Below are 21,787 nucleotides of genomic sequence, written 5' to 3' on the forward strand. Positions count from 1 at the left end.
TAAAACATGACTTCATTTCTCACTGTTGTCTTTTATTCTGACACATTTCATTCTATCTCAGAACCTCACTCAAACTGAGGTCCTAGCAGTTGTTAAATACCAATCTGAAGAAACCAGATGAATCATCAGAATGTTTCATGTTCTAGATTTGTCTGATTGTCTCCTCGTGGTGTGTCTCTTAACTTTTTCCTCTATTCACTATTCCCTACAAACTAGAAATGTGGTCCAGAGGCTTGTTTGGATTCAGATTAAACATTTTTGGCATGTGTACTTCAAATGGCATCCCATTATGCCAGGCTATCCACTGTTTGTGATGCTAATGTGGTGATGGCCAGACACAGTACCTCTTTCTATAGATGAGATTTTCTTTATAATTAGCAGGTAATCTGTAGGATAATGCTTGGGCATTCTGTGAATGTTCTGTTTTCCGTCAGATATTTGCTTAAGAGTTTTAGAATACATTGATGATTCTTGCTAGAATCAATTCTTTCTTTAGGGGTGGTAAAATGATGGTATCCTAATTCTATTATTTCTCCCACATTTTTACTTGGCATTTTTTCCTGTAGACTTTCTCTTACCAACATCAGATGAGCTATAGTTCCTCTTTTAAAAAGTAAGTGAAATGCTTTTCTCGTTATTTACCAATTTTGGTGGTAAGAAGTTAGTGTAATTGTCACCCTCAATGGCGGCATGTTTTTTTCTCTTTTCAGTATAATTATAGGCTAATTGATTTTTATTTGTTCAATATACAACAATCAATTACAATAATTCTTCTTTTTTAGTGCTTATATTTCCCACATTTGCCAAAAGGGAGCCTCTTCATATGACACTTGTGTCCTTTTGACAGATCCCTATTAGTCAAGGAATGCTTCTTTGTTTTCTAGTACAAGAAGATATCCCAGGCTCACCTTATACTTTCCCTGCCTTCCCTTTTAAAAGGATTTTAAAAATAGTATCTTCAGCTCTTCCTAGATGGAAATAAGCCATATCAGACCCCCTGCTTGCCTCACTCATTCTTTCAGTACATACTTATTGAGTGTCTGCTGTGGGTCAGGAATCTGTGGGTGATGTCAAAAGAAATCTGGTTCATATCATACTCTTGGGGAGCCTAAAATCTAATAGGACAGAGGAGTCCTGTGTACTATAAGGTGAAGAGAGATATGTTTTATATTAGAGGGACAGATCACCATGGGAAGTAACACTTAAACTGAAACTTAAAGCATATATAGGTGCTAGCCACATGAAGAAGATAGGAGGAGAATTCCAGGCAGAAGAAACAACGTGTCCAAGGTGGGAAGGAGCTAGGTTCATTCAAGGAATTAAAATGGAAAGAACCTGAGAATCTGTGTGTGGGCAAAGGCAAGAGCAGCTAGGGAGGAGGCTGGCGTGATGGACAGCAAAGGCCAAAGAAGGCAAGTCCTGGAAGACTCAGATACCCAAGGAGAGGTATGTCTGCAACACACTGGTTGAGGCTGAGGTCAGATCTTTCCTTTAAATAGATTTTGAGCATAGCATCTAATACCTACCATTGTGTTGTCTTCCTACATAAGGGGGGGAAATAGTATAATAAATGGAGCAATTTTTGTTGAAATGTGTCTGCTTTGGACAATATCAATGTTATGGAACCTTTTTATAATTAGTCTTTTGGCTTGGAAGAGTTTTCACTCTAGCCCAAAAATAAAGAAGGAGCAGAAAAAAAATAATAACTGAGATAAGCAAAAGTGAGATAAAGCAGGAGGATATCATTTTGCTTAACCTGTCTCTTACTTAGAATATCAATATGCCTAGTGGATAGGAACCATGACATTGAAGAGGAAAAAAAATGTATATTTGTATTTTTTAAGTCTCCTCTGAATATAATAGCAAAGAGGTAGTGAGAATTTTCAGGAACAGCTAAGCAATAAGTCAAGCTTTACAAGGTCTAAGCAGCAGTGATGATCAATCTATACAGTGATAAAGAGGATACAAATTCATGGGAATCATTGTTGTAGAGTTGTGTGTATGTGTGTGCATGCTTGTGTGTGTGCTTGTGTGTGGCTTTGTCACAGATCTACCAGAAAATACTGTAGCTTCCTTTAACATGTGATGAACTTGTAGAGAAAACTGAAGAATATTGGTTATGTTTTTTGAGTTTTAATTTAGGTTCTAGAGTTTTACTTTTGAAAATATTACTGCAGTGTCAGCCTACAAAAGAATTTTAAGTCACAATTTTGTTTAAGAACATTCCTTTTTGGGTTCTATGGGTATATTTGTGATAATTGTTATTCACATTCATCATACACGCATGCTCTTTTCACCTTCCTCTTCCATTCTGCCTTTATTCCGTTCACGCTGTGTTCCTTTATTGGGTCTTCTCTCCAGCTGACATGCATACACCAGCTTCTGAAGCTCTGTGATCTTCTCTGACTGTGCAAATTAGGGCCCCATAGGAAGTCTCAGCTTCACATGGTCTACTCCTGTCTGAGATCCAGACCCCTAGGAACTGGACCAGGATGAGTCTCAGGCATAGATAAGAGAGGTAAACACTCAAGACTTGGAGGTACTTTTTCATGCTCTACTCACCCCTGCTGTGCAAATAGATTTCCACCCATAGCTTTTCTTAAAAGTGTCTTGTAGATTAATGCATTTCAATCTTTAAGTGAAGAATATTGAAATTCATGTACTTGGAGATGTTCTGTGTTAAGATATGTGTAGAGAAAACTTGAACTGTGATTTTCCTCTACTCTCACACCACAATAATCATCAATACAGAAGACTTCTGTGACCATATTTGGGGGTGGGGAGAGTTCTCCCCATACACCAAGCAGTGGACACCAACTGAGAGGCCTCTAATTCAGTTCCAACATTATCTACCCAGAGACAGTGTCATATCCCACAGATTGATGGCTCAGTCCCCAAGACTTCCCCCAACCCCCAACACACCAGTCGAAAGTTCGGCCCTCCAGAAATTCTAATCAAAGTGCCAAACTTTTGGCTTCAAGTTGGGGTTCCCATGACCCCTTCTTTGGGTTGGATTAATATGCTGGAGCAGCTCACAGAGCTCCGGGAAACACTTATTTACATTTACTGATTTATTATAAAGGATATTGTAAAGGATACAGATGAAGAGATGCATAGGGCGAGAAATAGGGTAAGGGGCACAGGGCTCCCATGCCCTTCCTGGGCGTGTCACCCTCCAGTAACCTCCATGTGTTCAGCTATCTGGAAATTCACTGAACTCTGTCCTCTTGGGGTTTTATGGAATCTTCATGATGTCAGCATTCATTCCCCCACAGTATAGGGTGGGACCCTCTCATGGGAGAGTCTTAAGACTCACAATCAGAAAGGCAGGCGAACATTAGAGTCCTGCTTTAGGGCAGGTGAAAGCAGAGCAGAAAGTCAGAGGCTGCCCCTGAGGCCTAACACACCCAGCATTATAACCAAGGAATGGCTATGGGAGTTAGAAGCCAGGAGCTCTGGATGAAAACCAGTATATATCATAACACTGCAAGATGTTAATGCCTGTGTATATTTGGTATGAATTAGTATATCAGATATCTTTCCAATTCAGCAGCTAACAAGAATGGGGATAGGTGGAGATGGACACATGTAGTGGGGAGCCTTTGTGTGGAGGCTGTTACATATGACTTTGAGAATTACTAGAATATTCTTATCTAACATTTAAGGCCCTTAACTTACTCATAGTACGCATCTTCTGCTTCCATTAGAATTTTAAGTAAACACAATTATTTGCCTTTACATTATTATTATGACTTCAGTAAATTGGTTAATAACCAATATATTAAAAAGCAAAGGGTTTTGCTAAGAAAAATATTTTTGATATTTTCTACAAATATAGTTTTAAATAAAATATCTATTATAAGTTTTAAAATGGCTAATCTGATTTTTCTGTCTTTTCTTCATCTTTATATGTTTGTCATTTATCAGTGGCTCACATCTCAGTATAATATCTCGATAAAATGTATTTTCTCCTTTTTAAATATTTTTATATTCTCATCTGTTTTTATGGCATGTTACTGCATGTCTCCAGAGGCACACAGCATTTTTATTTTCAAGTAAATTTATATTAGTTACAGTCTCCAGCTGTTTTAGATATAGGATCATTTCCTGTTGGTACTGTTTCCAGGACAATTCTTTTTTTCCCCTCTCACAAAAATGAAAAATGTAATTTAACAAAGACATCCTATAATTGCCTTCATATCTAGCAATCTAAATACTTTATTTTATTTAAAACATCTGTCTACATAATATCTAGTGATTATCCAGGGGTATATCATTCTTGAGAAAGGCAGCTGCTGTCATTTTTATTTAATTTATAAGGAACCATCAAAAATGCATCCTTAATATAGAGTCTTATGCCACTATGTCATATATAAGATTTTTTAATGAGGATATCTTACATTTTTGGTGCTTGCAATTAATTTAGGCTTTTTTTCAAATTGGAAAAGACCATCATTTTAAAAATCACTATGGAATTATTTTGTAAGAATAGTAATCTTTTGCTACAGATATCAAATTATAATGAAAATGGTGGTATGCTCCTCTACTCATGTAACTAGCCTTACACAGGAATCATATTTTAATTGCTAAGCTTTTTTAATGTCATTTGTCTATAGTGCATTTTCTTTTCATTTATAATAAAAAGTGAAGTCTTTTTATTGTGATGTCTTTCTGCTATATAAGCAGTCAGTTGATATTTTCTTGTTATTTTTCAGAAAATGCATGGAGAAATATAGCAGCTTCTATAAAAGCTCTTTGTTTTGAGGGTAATACTGAAATTTGCTTGTAGAGGAACCCATTTATAAATTCTGTTTATCGTGCATGACCCTCGGAGCCTAAAATGGAGTGTTTAACTTTTAATAGATTGTATCAATTTAGGCTCAGCTGAATGCCAAAAACAACAGACACCCAGGTTTACAATAGTGTGTCTAAATGAGAAAGTTTACCTTTTCCAAGGGAGTAATCAAAATATTCCTTTTTGGAACACTAAGAGTATGAAAGGGAAATGATTATGGTTCCCTACTGACACACTGTTATGATTGACAGGAAAAACCAACATGCATGCCACCTGAGACATCTTGTTCAGGAACTTTCTGGAGGGTAGTAAATTGGTGTTGGCACAAACACAAAAAAATAAAATGACTTGATTCAGCACTTTTCAATTCTAAATCCCCAAATACTAAAGAAAGAAGTAAATATTCATCAAATGATCAAAATTTATATTGATTTTTATTCTACATTAGCAGCTCAAAGTCGAGATTCTTGACAGGGTGGGTGTCGGTTTGAATGATTCTCTTTGAAATGAGGATATAGGCACTGAGCTGAGTGCTACTGTGCATTCCTGAACCATAGGTCCTGATTATTAGAACCCTAGGAGGCTAAATTTTTAAAAGAACAGTATAAAGGCACACTTGTTTGGTTCTGTTTTGATAAATAAATTGTTATTATTAGTATGTAAAGTAATTCTTGTTGTTCCTGCTTCATTCTTTTCTCTCTATCACCATTTAAGGACAACTATTTTATAGAATTTCAGAGGAACTAGTGTGCATGTCTTGCAGTCATAGAGTTAATAGCAGTGTTTGCCAGCATAATTGTACTTAGGAAGGAAGTGCCAGTTCTACAGGGCAAGAGAAACTAAGATTGTATCTTCCTATTATACATCTTTGATGTTTAGTTTCTACCAGAAAGTAAATAAGGATTTGCTGTAGAGGAATTTAGAAGATGGGAGTAAGGATGCTGCCATAGAATATAAACAGAGGATGCCTATGTCATTGTGCAGAGATTTGCTAAGGAAACAGTAATGGAGTGACATCAAAAATTCTAATCATCGTCTTCAGTCCACACAGTATATTTGCACTCCCTTCCCACCCTAGCTCATGACATAAAATGCGGAATTTTTAATGATTTTTAACTACAGGCATTACAAAAAGGAGAGGGTGGTAGTAGATAAAAGCTCTTCACAAATGCAATAGTTTGATATGTTTGTTTGATATATTTGTTCTTCATGTTTGTTAGGTGGAGGTGTTTTGTTGCTGTTACTTTTAATAAACATCTCATCTGTCATTAAAATGGAGGAAAGGATGTTTTTCTTTATGCACAAAAAGAAGAAATAATGGAAATGGTGTTAATGTTAATTTCTCAACTTTGTGTTTAAATGTTTACCATTTAACAAATATCATTAAGGAAACAGCTTTAAAATTGAATTTCCTAAACATTATAGTGAATGTTTCTAATAATTTGCAAACAACAGGTCAATAGAAATAAAAATGAATTTTTAAAGTAATGTATTATTTTTTACTTAAATCATTTATCTTTTGCAGTTGTCCTGACTTTATTAGACATGAGATTTGTAAATAAACCTTGAGAACCTAAGGCTAGGTTTTTTTGGAACTGCCAATATGATCAGTTTTATGATTAGTTTTGTGATTATGATTAGTCTTCTGATAATAGTTTTATGATCAGTTTTATGATTAGTTTTATATCCTAACCTACAAAGATTAGTATATGCAGTGGTCTTTGCTGAGTAATAATATTGAAATAACTTTGATATTATTAAATTTTTGATATATACTTAATTTTTGACAAGGGAAGATATTTACATTTTTTAATACTTTTAGAACTCTCTTATACAATAATTAAAATAACATTCCAACAAACTTAGTAAGTCTTTCTTTGGCAATATCTTTGAAGTATAATATTGGTCTTACCCTTGAATGAATATTTGAGCTACTATTATGTAGTATAGTTTTTCTGTGATTCTAGGTTATACATTCCCTGAGGGTTGATACTGTGTCTGATCCAGATTTGTTTGTATCATGCACAATGTCTTACCCCTAAGAGACACTCAAGATGTATTTGTTGAATGAATAAATGAAGGGCCTGAATCAACTTTACTCCAAATAAATACATTGCTCCTTTAGTCCTATGACTCCCTGCTCTGATTCTGTAGAAGGAAGCTTTGGCATCCATGCAGGACTAGAAGAACAACATGAGATTCTCATTCATTGTAATACCAAATGTTATTTGTATTTAGCTAGAATGTAGCTAATCATGGTATGTGAATAAATGCCTGTAGAGAGTTTGTTTCTGGACAAAGGAAGTGCACTTAGAATAAGGTGAGTTATTTTAGGAAATTATGAACCACCAACAATGACAACAAAAGCAAAAACACACAAAATAAACATGATCTTAGAAAAAAGCAGTGGAAAGGTAATAATTCTAAATCCTGGAATGAGTATGGGCACTCTGCCAAACAAAAGAGTAGATATTTCCAAGTGTATTCATCCATTCTCACGCTGCTAATAGACATACCCAAGACTGAATAATTTATGAAGGAAAGAGGTTTAATTGACTCACAGTTCTGCATGGCTGGGGAGGCCTCAGGAAACTTACAATCATGGCAGAAAGGAAAGTAAACACATCCTTCTTCACATGGCGGCAGCAAGAAGAAGTGCCGAGCAAAAGGGGAAAACATAGGTGGGCATGGTGGCTCACCCCTGTAATCCCAGCGGTTTGGGAGGCTGAGATGGGCAGATCACTTGAGGTCAGGAGTTTGAGACCAGCCTGGCCAACATGGTGAAATCCTGTCTCTATTAAAAATACAAAACTTAGCTGGGTATGGTGGCGGATGCCTGTAATCCCAGCTACTGGGGAGGCTGAGGCAGGAGAATCGCTTGATCCCAGGAGGCTGAGGTTGCAATGAGCCAAGATCTTGCCACTGTACAGCGGCCTGAGTGACAGAGTGAGACTCTGTCTCAAAAAAAAAAAAAAAAAGCCCCTTATAAAACTGTCAGATCTCATGAAAACTATCACAAAGCCCCTTATAAAACTGTCAGATCTCATGAAAACTATCACAAGAATAGCAGGAGGGTAAATGCCCCCAGGATTAAATTACATCCCACTGGGTCCCTCCCATGACACATGGGGATTATGGGAACTACAATTCAAGATGAGATTTAGGTGGGGACACAGCCAAACCATATCACCAAGTGTAGATTCTAATCAACCCTGGAAGTCCTTGGGAGGGTCCATGAGGGTCTTGAGACCTGAAGGTCTTTCCAGAAGAAGGAAGCATTCTGGACTAGTTGCTAAAGGGGATACTATTAGGAGGAAAGAAGGGAAACATAGTAAGTATTTTTGTAAGGAAGCAAAGGAAAAGACAGGTGCTTAGATATACTGCATTGAAGGTAAAAAAGATTGTGTAGTAAAAGAAGGAAAATGTCCCCAGTAACAAAATTATTACCAAAAAAGTAGGGTTTCCTCCCATTATATTGAAGGATCCCTGTGATCTTGAGCTAGTGTGGACTCTTCCAAATACAAACTCTGCCATTGTTGGTGTCTCCTCCAAAAGCCCAAATGGCTCATGAATTAAAGAAGCTTTTTTTTCTTCTTTTTTTTTTCCCTGGGAAGAATAGTAAACAAGTTCTATATTTCAATTATTTTATTTTCTGTCAAAGAAAAAAGTCTCCTTCTTAAGGGAGAATAAAGCCAACAATTTTTAAAATGAAGCTGAGGCTTCAGCCTTCAAACTAACTGTTTTATTTCTTTGTACATTTGAAATCATTTTAGATGTTCAAACTCAGTAAAATTTATTCAATTTGTATTGAGTGTCTTATCACATATGCTGTGCTGGGTGCTAGGGATAAAGCAGTAAACACATAAACAAAACCTCCTGCCCTCATGGAGCTTTCAATTCACTGAGGGAAGATGGACAATATAAAAAAAAGTGACATGTTCAGCTACATGTGATAAGTATGTAGGAAAGAGGATAGGGATTTCTAGGGGTGGGGGTGAGTTGTAGTTTTAAGTAGCAGGTCAGGGAAGACTTGGATGCAAGAGGTTATCTCAGCAAAGACTTGAGAGAAGTGAGGGACTGAGCTGTCGTGCAAACACAAGCAAATGCCCCGAGAGCACACCCACCAGCCCTGCTGAAGCAGGCTAGACTAGGTTGAGGACCAAGGACTGACCACTGCATGAGGAATGTGGACCAAAATCTGATTGGGGTGTGTTCAAGAGAGAAAGAGGAGGTTTGTTGTAAACAGCAAGTATAAACAATTCAAGTAAAAATGGTTTTGCTATAATGGAGAACAGAGAAATGGAAAAATGACTAGAAGATAGATTGGCGGCAATGGATTATTTTTCTTTTTCTCTCTATTTTTTTTTTTTACCGATGGAAAAACAACGGCATTTTTTGGGCTAATGTGCAATAGGAATAATACAGTAGAGAAGAAAAAACTTGATGCAGGAAAGAAAGGCAATTTTGGGGGGTGATCATCTTTGTGTAGGTCAGGGAAGTCTGGTACCAAAATGCAAGGGATTAGCCTTAGAAATATGGACAGCTTCTGTAGAAACAGAAGGAATAGCAGAGGACGTGCACCCAGATGCAGATAGGCAGTAGTAGAGGTGGTGAGAACTACGAAGTCTAGTATGAGTGAACAGGGAGATCTACAATGGTATGAGTTAAGAAAAAGTAAAATGGATTTTAATATTTTCAGGATGCTTAACCCAACAAAGAATTCTGGGACGTGAAGTGATAAATCAGTCAAATTAGCAAAAAGCAAACTAAAAATTGCTTTTTATGACAAAGATAAAGCATTAGGTCTATATGTGATTATAAAAGTGCTTATGTGTTTAATCCTTCGAGTTGATTAGATTGACTGAAATTTCCTCCCCCAAATGTGTTATACACTATATTATTATTAGTTACACACACAAGATCAGAGGGAAGTATATGACTGAGTAATGATCCAGGCATTGAATTTGGGTCACCACATACCGAGCCAAATTTCCATAAAATATTTTAGCAAACTGCATTTTGTGTCCTTATTAAATTATTAAGTATTAATTTGTAGTCTGAATTTGAAAAGGAGTATCTCTAGTGATTTAGGTGCTAAATGCATACAAAATAAAGGGGGGAAACATGCTGTTATTGATAAATAGCAAAGCAATTGTATTAAATCTCAGATGAGAAGGCAGCATTTCTAACATGATTAGGCTGCCATAACAAAATACCACAGACTGGGTGGCTAAACAGCAGAAATTATTTCTCACAGTTCTGGAGGCTGGAAGTCCAAGATTGAGGTGTCTGCAGGTTTGATTTCAGGTGAAGCCTCTCTCCTTGGCTCACAGATGGCCACCTTCTTGCTGTGTTCTCATATGGCTGTTCCTCTGTGCATGCACACTTCTGGTATCTCTTCCTCTTCTTACAAGGACACCAATTCTATTGGATTGGGACCCCCACCCTTGTGACCTCGTTTAACCTTTATTGCCTTCTTAAAGATTCTATCTCCAAATATAGTCACATTGGGGGTTAGGGCTTCAACATAGGAATTTGGGGGTGAGGGGACATAATTCAGTCCATAATATTATGTTAAAAGTTTACCAGAGGTACTAGTTACTAGAATCTCTTAGGCATTCCCACTATTTGGTATGGTGGGCATCCAGCCTGATAGGAACTGCTGATTCAACTTCTTGATGCAACTTTCTCCAAGTACACCAGCCAGTAGGAGCTATACCAGCATATTTGGACTAATCCATTAGGCGACTATCTTGTCATGACAGAAAAAGAGAGATAGAGGAAGATTAAGGCCATCACAGAAATGACAATAGCTTCCGCTGGCACTTCATTGTGGCCAAGATAGCATACAAATTTTCTAACCTGGCATCCTCCATCGTCTATCCACTTTAGCCTCTATATCCAAATGCCCCAAAGCTCCAGCCACCATTCTCTGAACATGCCACATCCTTTCACAACTCTGCGCCCCTGAACAAATGAGTTACTCTGTCTATGAAGATATCTATCTGTTTCTTCACCTGACAAGGTCAGACCCATTATCTCAGTTTTGGCTCCAATGCCACTTCTGTCAAGCCTCTGCTCCATACCCCCAACCCCCACCTTCAAACAATAAATTATTTTTATTTCTCATCCTTCCCTACAATAATTTCACTTGGACACTTGTAGTTATCTGTTGGCATGGCTCTCTCTTCTACCACACTGCGGTGCCTCAGGAGAAGTAACTAAGTTTTCTTCTTCCTTGTTCCCACAGTTCTTGGTACAGTTCTTGAGATATGAGAAAGTCTCAGTAAACATATGAGTAATAAATGGATGAATGCAGCTGGGTGTGGTGGCTCATGCCTGTAATCCCAGCACTTTGGGAGGCTGAGGCAGGTGGATCATCTGAGCCCAGGAGTTCAAGACCAGCCTGGCCAACATGGTGAAACCCCATCTCTACTAAAAATACAAAAATTAGCTGGGTGTGGCAGCAGGCACCTGTAATCCCAGCTACTTGGGAGGCTGAGGTAGGAGATTCGCTTGAACCTGGGAGGTGGAGGTTGCAGTGAGCCACGATTGTGTCACTGCACTCCAGCTTGGGCAGTAGAGTGAGACTCCATCTCAAAATAATAATAATAAATGGATGAATGCAAGAATGTACAACTCATCCACTGAGCAATTATTTACTGAGCCCCTGTCATGTTCCAGATATTGCCAGGGTACTGGGAATGCAAAATGGCAAAGGAGACAGAAACAATCCTTTATGGAGTTTGGGGTCTAGAAAAAGAGACAGAAAAAAATGTAAACCAGCAAATGCAAGAATTTTAAATTTTGATATGTGTTATGAAGGAAATTAATCTGGATATGAAATAGAGGAAAAATAGAGTGGATCTACTTTTGATAAGTTAGGCAAGGCCTCTCTGAGAAGTAGCATATCAGCTGAGAGCTGGAAAGATGAGAAGACATTAGCAAGACAATGTTCCAGTGAAAGGGAACAATACGTGCAAAGGTCCTGAGGCAAGAAAGGGCTGTTTAAAGAACTAGAATGTTTAAAGTGTTGAAATAAGGCAAGGATGACAGGGGCATGGTGATCAAGAGGGAGACTGGTAGGAAACGTGGCCTAAGGTCAGCAGGAACCAAATATCCTAGGCCATGGGTAGAATTTTGTTTTTTAGGTCTGAATGCAGTCTAAAACCAGCTCATGTTTTATAAAGACTACTTTGGCCACTATAAGAGAAGAGATTAGAGGTCTAAGAATGAGCGAAGGGAGATACGTGTTAGAAGATATTTGCTGTACTGCAGGTGAAAGATTATGAAAGCTTGGAGTAGGCTGGAAGCAGTGCAGATTGGAGAAGGAGACTGCAGAGACATTTTAGAAGAGGAGTCAACAACTTAGGGAATAACCTGCTAAAGGAAATGAAGAAGAGGAAGAGTCAAGAATGACTCTCAGGTTTCTGACATGAGCAATAGACAGTACCATTTGTTTAAAACGAAAGGTTTTATTTTATTTAAAGGCCTAAGTACAGAAAGGTTTGGGGGATGTGGTAAGGATGAGAATGAAGGGTTCTGTTTTAAATAGTAAGGTCTAAAGAAACCCAAGTAGCGATGTCAGGTGATTGGAGGTGATTGGTTGGATATATAAGTATGCAGCTTAGAGAAGAGGATTGGAAGGCGTTACTACTTAGTTGGCATTTAAAGCCATGGAAGAGAGTATAGATAGAGAAAAGTGGCCCAGAATTGAGCCCACAAACAACAACACACCAGTGATGTCAACTGTCATTCAAAAAGATCATTGAACAATAAATAAAATGAATTTTGGGAGGGAGAATGACTGATAATCCATTATACTGGGTGAGCCAGTGGTAATGAAGGCCTAGACTACAGTAAGTGAAAACTGATCTTTTTTCTCTTCTCATTGTCAGCTCTCTCCCATGGCATTCACACTTCATCTCCTAATGGCAACCGTTGCCTGTAGGTTTGTATTTCAGTACTAATATTTCCACTTGCTTGCTGAATATCTCATTCTGAGCATCCCACCAGTACCTTAAATTAATAGACTCATATAAATCCAGCCGATTTCTCCCATCCACTTGAATTGCTCTTCCTATATTCCTACTCCTATTGATGGCATCATGGGTCTTTTAGTGACCTAGAAGGGAAGAGGGGATTCCATCACCGAGTCTTCTTCCCCAACCCCCTATTTAATGAGTAAGTTGCCAAAGTATTTTGATGGTGCATCTTAAATATTATTTAATCATGCTAAGTTTCCATGTGTAAAATATAGTCACTTTTTAAAGTATCCATTGTTATAGATGCTAATAATTTTTTTTAACCAGAGATTGTTACTGTTTTTAAAGAACTAAATTTTCTTCAACTCTTTCTCTTAAAAATTTATCTTTGGACTAAAATATAGTCTGATAAAAAGTTAAGATAGTCTGCAGAAAGATTTAGACTGGCAAAGCCATTCAACCTTAGTAGGAGGAACTACTTTGGTTCTATTTTTATCATCTCATTTGGGAATGAATCACTGAAAACAGAAATAGAAATAGAGATGGATAAGAAAGACCTGGGCCATCTAATTCATCTCCTTGTTAGTGCAGGGAAGTTTCCTTTGACAAATGCTTGTGAGATATTATGCAGTAAAAGTCATAGATTATAACATTTCAATCATTTTGTAAGGTGACTATTTTTCGAGTTACTCTCAGCTTTGTTCTCTGAACTTCTTTTCACATATCCCTGTCATATGTGAAGTATATCTCTTTGTACACAGAAATGGCTGAGAATTACAGAGATGAATGCAGATTATTTTTCTGTAATGGTGTTGAGTCTAGATGAAGTTGACTTCTCTCGTTAGGATTGTTTTTGTGACCAGTGGCACACATTTGTGAGGTCATTACCCAGAATGAATCATGATCAAGCTTGTGACTTAGGATGGCTAAAAACTAACAGGAACCCTTAGATATCAAACACGTCCCTTGGTACCTAATGGCACAAATGCATTATTCTAATTGGGTCAGTGGAATACTTAGTGTGGGTATAATACTCGTTAAACTTTGTGGCTTTGCAGTGGAAGTAAAGGGGTGGCATTTGAGAGGAGTATTGTTCTTTGACTATTGCTCAATATCTCTGTAATCTCAATTTTCTCATAAAAATTTGTATGTTCTTTTAAAAGATTTTTTCTGTTGTGTTTCTGATTGTTGACTCTTTACATTTAGTTTTATCCTTTTAAAAATAAAATATTATTACATCAGTAGTTATTATTCTTTCAGGTTTCATGATGTTTGCAAACCTCTTAGTTGGCAGTCTTCTATATGTGCTGTTAACATTCTGCATACCTCCTCTTCCACATCATCAATAAAGATACTAACATCACTAGATCTAGCGTTTTCTTTGTGCCTTCCCACCAGCCATACCCCCTACTCCCAGCTGAATGTACTCCATATGACATTATCCTTTGTTTATAGTGTTTGACATAGTTCTTAATCCAATTGAGTGTCTTCTTATTCAAGTCAATTAGTTTGGGCAAGAACAGTTCACATGAACCAACAAATAGATTGCAGTTTTGATCTGATTCCTGAAACTTCAATTATATAACTATAGTTATTTTAGCAGTGTTTCTTTAAGTTCTTTCTCAGCAAACCAGAGCATTCATAATTAAGTACTTATAAAAAGCAACAACATAGGAATTCTGGAATGGTTTGAGACCTCATTTTTCTTTTTTTCTTTTCTTTTTTTAAATTGAGAAAGCGTCTCACTTTGTTGCCCAGGCTGAAGTGCAGTCATGCAATCTTGGCTCACTGCAACTTCCTTCTCCCAGGTACAAGTGATTCTCCTGCCTCAGCCTCCCAAGTAGCTGGGACTACAGGCATGCGCCCGGGTAATTTTTGTATTTTTAGTAGAGACGGGGTTTCGCCATGTTGGCCAGGCTGGTCTCAAACTCCTGACCTAAAGTGATCCACCCACCTCAGCCTCCCAAAGTGCTGGGATTGCAGGCATGCATCACCGCACCCGGCCTGCAAGACCTCATTTTTCATAGGCTACCCATTTCCTTTATAGAGTCCTAATTTGGAATTTAAGCAGCTGCCACTTTATAATATTCACTTTTTCTCCGTAGTCGAGGCTATAAAACTAGAGATCAGGCAAAAGGCCTTGGTCAGCTGTGGATACTAAGAGTAGAAGGTCACATCTGGCCCAACTTTTCTTCTTACGTGTTATGGAATTCTGGCGACTACTCAACAGCTGACCCAGAAATGTTCTTCCTAGAATATATAATAAAATTGTAAAGTAGAGATTTCAAGGTTTATCAGAAATGTTAATGGGCATGCTTGGATTTAGTGAAGCACACAAAAGAAGAGTCCTTTGGTCTACAATGTACATGAACTCAGCATTGCTCCTTTCCCTTTACTATGGCCAAGCATGTCCCTGAGAAGATATCATTCTCGGTCTCATCTGATGTTCTAGGGAACCTGAAAGCCACAGGAATCACAACAGCTGCAATAAATAAAGCATCTATTCAATACAGTTTCATGCCAAATATTATTCAGCATTCTTTTGGCCTTGGTTTGATAGAAAACAGCATGGTGAACTTACTACCTCTCCTTTACTACAGTGAGCCCTAAGTATGAAAGATGTAACAATTCAAACCTGCATGTAAATAAAATCACTGTTTGCATTACTTTAAAATTATTAAGACAGTAACACAGACAACCAAAAAATGTAGTAAAGTCTATTGTGATTGTTGAAGAGGTATTAGAATTAACACTAGGCTTTTTTATTCTCCATAGGGAAAATAGTAGAAAAATATTTAGAATATGTGTCCATGCAAATGTGTGGGTTGGAGGGGGATTTTTAAAAAATAAGTGCTACATATGTGACAACATAAGGAAGAACATTATTAAGGAATTTCACAGAATTTTTATGTAAAGTCTTATCATACAGTATTATGATCTCAGGGATATTTTGTGATATTTACAGAGTCTTCTGAGGGTTCATTTATTCAGGTCATATTTTAAGGAGGAACTTATAAGATTCAGATCTAAAATATAATTCTGTAATATGCCCAACTGATCCCATTAAATCCAACTCGAAAAGGAGCACTATAATGATGTGAAGAATTCCCATTCTTTGAGTTGTTACACCTCACTTGAAATGCATTCCTTCTGGATTAAAACAGCAATTTCTCTTTGTTTCTCTTTCCAGGCTGAGGTTCAACTATGCTACCTGGAAGCACAAAGAGATGCTGTTGAGCAGATGTCCCTCAAGCTGTACAGCGAGCAGTATACCAGCAGCAGCAAGCGAAAGGAAGAGTTTGCTGATATGTCAAAAGTTCATTCAGTGGGAAGCAATGGGTAGGGAACTATTCTTTTTGTTGTTTTATTCTCACTAATCTATTTTTTCAATGATTTTCCACTGGTAGGTGTTAGGAAGGTATTTCCTCTTTAGCAAACCGACAAGGAGAAGCTCAGTAGACTAGGCATTAATGTTCTTTTCCATTTGTGCCAGAATTGAAGACTGTGGATTTCATCAGCCTCTGCCATCTAACCCAGAACTTTCTGACTCATTATTAATTTTTAAAATACAGCGTTGTGATTTTATAAGTGTTTTTGTGACTACGATGTGCCTTTAGTATTGATCTGTCTTCTTTATAAATTTTTTCCTTGTATTTGCTCTTTTTTAGGTTTCACAATTTTATTTTAAAGCCTATTTAAGGACTTTTAAACACCAGAACCATTTTGGAAACTTAGAAGAACATAATTTTCCTGAATAGTGTAGAAATTTAATAATTGTTTAGAGACCATGGGCTAGCCACTTAGCTTCACATGAAGTCAATTGGAATAGACTAGCTCTTGCATTATCTATGGTATGTGAAAGGACCCAACACCTTCAGTGACCCATCAACAATTTCATTCAGCCTGAGACATACAGCTGTATTTATATTATACTAACTATTCATACTATTGAACAGTCAAGTCACATATTTAGATAATTCCAAATGACTTTTAAAATTATGTGAACGTTGTCTAAATATATGTGTATTTATATCATTGGAGCAGATAATTTTACAAAGCTAAATATATGTGTGTATATATGTATATTTTTAAAAAGTGTATATATTTTTTCTTTTTTCCAGCCCAATTGTAATATTTAATAGGTGATTTTAGAGAGTAAAAGGGTAGTGATGAAATTGAATTATTTCAGAGTATTAATAATTTGATAATAGTTATGCTCATAAAAATGGAAACAGTAACCTATTTTACTTTTAGACTTGTACCAGACAGCACAAAGGAGAAACTATTCCCCAAAGTTACATTACATGTTAATAACATTATATAAACCTATGGGATGTAACTCTAGCCAAAATATTTCTTAAAGTGACAAGAGGAAAGAGGCCTTTTCATGCACTGGTTTGCATTTATTTTTTTAAAGTGCTTATAGTTCTGACTGGAACTACAATCCTCATATAAAGTTTTGGGATAAATTAAGTACACTGATGAAAAATTCTTTCTTATTGTAAAAACCCATTGTCTAAGAATATAGGAAATAACTCCTGTATTCTTAGTCATTCAGAGTCATAATTGAGAGTCATAATTCTGTTTAGGAAATGAAAAGGGAGTTTTCAAGTTTTCACATTTACCTATTTCTATAACTTGTTGCTCCATCAGTATATTTTAATACATGAGACATATTATATATGTAGTCAATTCATCTTACTTGATTCAGTAGTCATTTATTCACCAGAGGAAAAACATAGCAGCAAATAAGAAAGAAAAGGTTAAATCTTGAAGCATGAACAATAAACTGCTTTGAGGCCTTAATGTGCTTTAATTTCTCTAAATGCCTAAATAGCCTCTGGTGTACATGCAAGCACAAACTTTAGGTCACATTTTCATGTTTTGTAAAAGCCCTGGGGTTTGAGCAGTACCACGTGCTTCTGACCCCAGATTCCAGGGACCCAATCTGAGCACTCACTCTGGGCTCCACAAATCATAAATCTGCCCTGGGAATTGCTTAGTTAACAACAAGCATTGTTCTGTGAAGTGGGAGTAGGTGAACTTGCCTGATATCCTTTGTTTATGCTCCTTGGGGTGCTGAAGGCTGTGCATTGTGCAGAAATTTAAGAGTGCACTGAAAGAAAGCCAGCTATTTAATACTAAGGACAAAAACCATATACTCCTTTCTATTTTCTGTTTACATACAGAAAAGCATTGTTTGAGAAATGCATGTGAGTGAGGTTATCTGGGGTGTCCTGCCCTTAAAACTGTCTGTTCCCACAGTCAAATCCTTAATTCTAAAGCCTTAAGAAAGTAGCTTTGTAAAATTATCTGCTCCAATGATACATAAACTTCATTAATCATTCTTTTTGTTACATAGAATGAACATTGTTTCCAATAAGTAATTGTGGGAATGGTGTGGGCTTTCAAGGATCTTCATTCCACATGCATATATCCAATACACTAAAGAGAAAATTAAGTTGGTGATACAATTCGTATCATTTTATTTCCTTCTCATGCCTACAAGCATGCTAAAAAGATTATATGTACTAATGTAGCTGAAAAATGAATCAGACTACTCCAGGGAAGACTGAGCTGCTACACTGAATGGTGATCTTAAGTTTCTGAGAATTTTATGTAACCAAAATAACTTTTAGAAATGAATATATAACCTCTTTAGCCTGACAAAAAGGTATGTTATCAAGGTGATACATCACAGCTTATATAGTATACAACTATGAATTGTGTGGTTAGCAGTTATGAATATATGTGATAGGAAGATTTTCCCTGAACGTATGTGAGGCTGTATGAGTTCTAGTAACAGAGTTTGTTCACCTGTGGGGAACAGTTGGCACTGGCTCCAGCATCCCAAAGTGGAACCATAGCTCCTGGAGGGACCTGCAGTGTGTGAGTCTCCGGTGATTATCAACAGTAGCAAAAGTCAGTGCTTTTCAATTTAGGTGAAAGCACTTATCAGTTGCCTTTTTTTCATCCAATAAATATTCATTGAGGGCCTACTATGTGCATGGCATGATGCTCTGAGCATAGTTTATCAAGAACAATTACTTTCTGTATATTTTGTAAAGTATAACCATCTCTTTTTCAGATACCTTTTCCTATTGAGAGGTTATCTGACTTTATTTTTCTAATGAATTTCAAAGATTCAGTTTAATTTGCTAAGTAGTATCATTCTTGATGTCAGAACTCAGTGTAGATTAAAAACCATGTCTTTTCTTCAGTCTGTGTAAAGGAGAGAACTGAGAGGCAAAGATAGAAAGTTTAAAGTGGAGCTAAGACCTCGACTCAGCACTCTGGGTCAAGAATGCAGAAGGTAATCTATAAAGTCACTCTTTGCCCTCTCTGTAAGGATTTATCTGGACTCTTAATAAGCTTTTCCCCCAAATCTGGTGTTGTGCATATTCCATACTGTATGAAATTTGAACTAAGGTATCTTCCTACTATGGAGAAATGGAAGTCTTAAGTAGAGTTCATTAAAACCACACAGAAGTTTGGGCAAAACATTGCAGAGCAGGTTTAAATCAAAACAAAATTAACTCATTCATTAATTTGACAAATTTTTTTTTTTTTTTTTTTGAGATAGGGTCTCATTCCCATTGCCCAGACTGGAGTGCAGTGACATGATCTTGGCTCACTGCAGCCACAGCTTCTTGGCTCAGGTGATTCTCCCACCTCAGCCTCCTGAGTCACTGGGACTACTGGGGTGGGGCACCATGCCCAGCTGATTTTTTGTACTTTTAGTGGAGACAAGGTTTCACCATGTTGCCCAGGCTGAATTTGACAAACATTTTAAAGTACCTTCTATATGTCAGGCTCTATGAAGTGCAGAGATTAAAATGGTGGAAATGAAATGGTTCCTACATTTCAGAAGCTCACAGTTTGTTAGGAGGAACCAGATCTCTGTAAACAGCGTGGAGTAAAGGATTTTAAGTGTCAAGTTAGAAATATGTGTAGGGAAGAGGGGAGGGCTCATTGAAGGCAGAGCTCAATTCTGACTGTGTCAAGTAGAATTAGAGCAGGTCAGGAAAGACAGCAGAGAGAGAGGGCTCTGGAGATGGTTTTTGAAAGAGGGCTAGGTCGGCAGAAGTGCTTCTCAATTTAACCTGAAAAACACATATTGAGCACCTACAAAGACATACCACAGTCTCTGCCTTCATTGAATTTACAGTCTAGCAAGAGAGTGTGGCATGAAGCCGATACTGATCTGTGCAGTGAGAGAGAAGGGGAAATAGAGAATGCTAGGGAACTTAGAGCAAACAGGATGAGCTCTCGCAGGCAGGGCTGCATCTTTCATGTTCACTGCACTCTCTCCAGCATCTGGCGCAGTGCCTGGCAAGTGCTAGGTACCCAGTAAATGAATGGATGCATGAATGAATAAATAAAACTGATCTGGGGCTAAAAGGGAGGAAAGGTCTGGAATCATCAGACTGCTTGCTGTTTCATAGGACTGAAGAGGAGGATTGAAGTTAGAGGAGGTGTGGAAAATAAGGCTTTGGAAGAAGGTGAAGTCCAGAGCCAGAAGTTAATCATTGAATTCATGGTTCTTAACCGAGATAGTGCATCAGGATGACCTGTGGAGCTTTTAAGTAGAAAAAAGCCAGCCTGCCCGACCCTACTGAAAATTTTGATTCAGTAGGCAGAAGAAGATGATAGTGATTAGGTTCTAATGCTCACCACCAGTTGAGAACCATTGCTTCAGTGGTTTTCAAAGTATGGTCTCTGGACCACCAGCAGCAGTATCTCCTAGGAATTTGTTAGAAATGTCATTTCTAGGTCTCACTTCAGACCTATTGAACTAGAAAGTCTAGGGGTGGAGACCAGCAATCTTTGTTTAACAAGCATCCCAGGTGATTCTTTTTTTTTCTTTTTTCTTCCTTTTTTTTTTGTTTTTGAGACAAAGCCTTGCTCTGTCGCCCAGGCTGGAGTGCAGTGGCGTGATCTTGGCTCACCGCAACCTCCGCCTCTTGGGTTCAAGCGATTCTTGTCCCTCAGTCTCTCAAGTGTCTGGGATTACAGGTGCACACCACCATGCCTGGCTAATTTTTGTATTTTTAGTAGAGACGGGGTTTCGTCATGTTGCCCAGGTTAGTCTCGAACTCCTAACCTCAAGTGATTCACCCACCTCAGCTCTCCAAAGTGCTGAGATTACAGGAGTGAGCCACCGCACCCAGCCCCTCCCAGGTGAATCTAATGCTGAAGTTTGAGAAGCACCGCTTTGGGCATTAGAGACTTTTAGGTTGACAGTTAATGGAGCATGTGGAGACTAGATGGAGACTGAAGCCAGAAAGTATCAGTAAACCTCAGTGGTCCACAGGATGAAGAGAGTGAGGGAGAAGGAACCATTCTGATGCCCCAGTTATTGGCTCAAAGAGAAAGAAAACAGGAATACTTGGATTCAAATGACTTTGGTGTCATCCAGCATGTGATATTTATTTAGCACCTATTAAGTGCAGGCTGTGTTAGGCACTGGGGACATAGAGGCAGTGGGACACAAAAGGTGATAGGTATATGGAAATCAGGAAAACCTTCCAGAAGAAGTGTCATGGAGGATGGCCCAGGGTCAGAAATGACAAGGGTGTTTCTCACAGAGGAGGCAGTGTGTGCAAACAGCCAGAATCACTAAGTGATGCCCAGCATGACTAGATTGGTAGTTTGCAACAATTATCTGCTAACTGTGTGGAGAACAGATTGGTTAGGCCTAGGCTAGACAGTGCTCAGATAAGAGGCTCTTCCAGTCATTCAAATAAGAAATAGTCCCTGAGCTAAGACAACAGCAATAGAAACTGAAAGAAGGAAGCTGCATTGACAAACCTTGGTTACTGGGTAGATGGGGTTGTTGAGGGAGGGGCTATTTGAGAATGGACCTCCGTATTTCAGACTTGGGCACTCTAGGAGACAGATGTGGCATTCACTGAGGAGGGGAATGCAGAGGAAGAATAACAGGGAGGAAAAGCAGAGTATTTGAGACATAGTTCTTTCCATGGTCTCTGAAGCATCCAAGTAGAAA

General features: G+C 37.8%; 1 protein-coding gene across 14 annotated transcripts in view; it reads left to right on the plus strand.

Annotated features, from left to right (window-relative positions):
* Positions 1-21,787, plus strand: part of AKAP6 (A-kinase anchoring protein 6) — a 508,387-nt gene that overhangs the window by 333,043 nt on the left and 153,557 nt on the right. For all 14 annotated transcript variants that reach the window (XM_047431969.1, XM_047431966.1, XM_024449755.2 and 11 more), the window contains one exon: positions 15,971-16,119. In XM_047431969.1, the coding sequence (XP_047287925.1) occupies positions 15,971-16,119 (149 nt within the window). The remainder of the gene's footprint in view (positions 1-15,970; positions 16,120-21,787) is intronic.

Source organism: Homo sapiens, chromosome 14 (assembly GCF_000001405.40).
Source record: "Homo sapiens chromosome 14, GRCh38.p14 Primary Assembly".
NCBI lineage: Eukaryota > Metazoa > Chordata > Mammalia > Primates > Hominidae > Homo > Homo sapiens.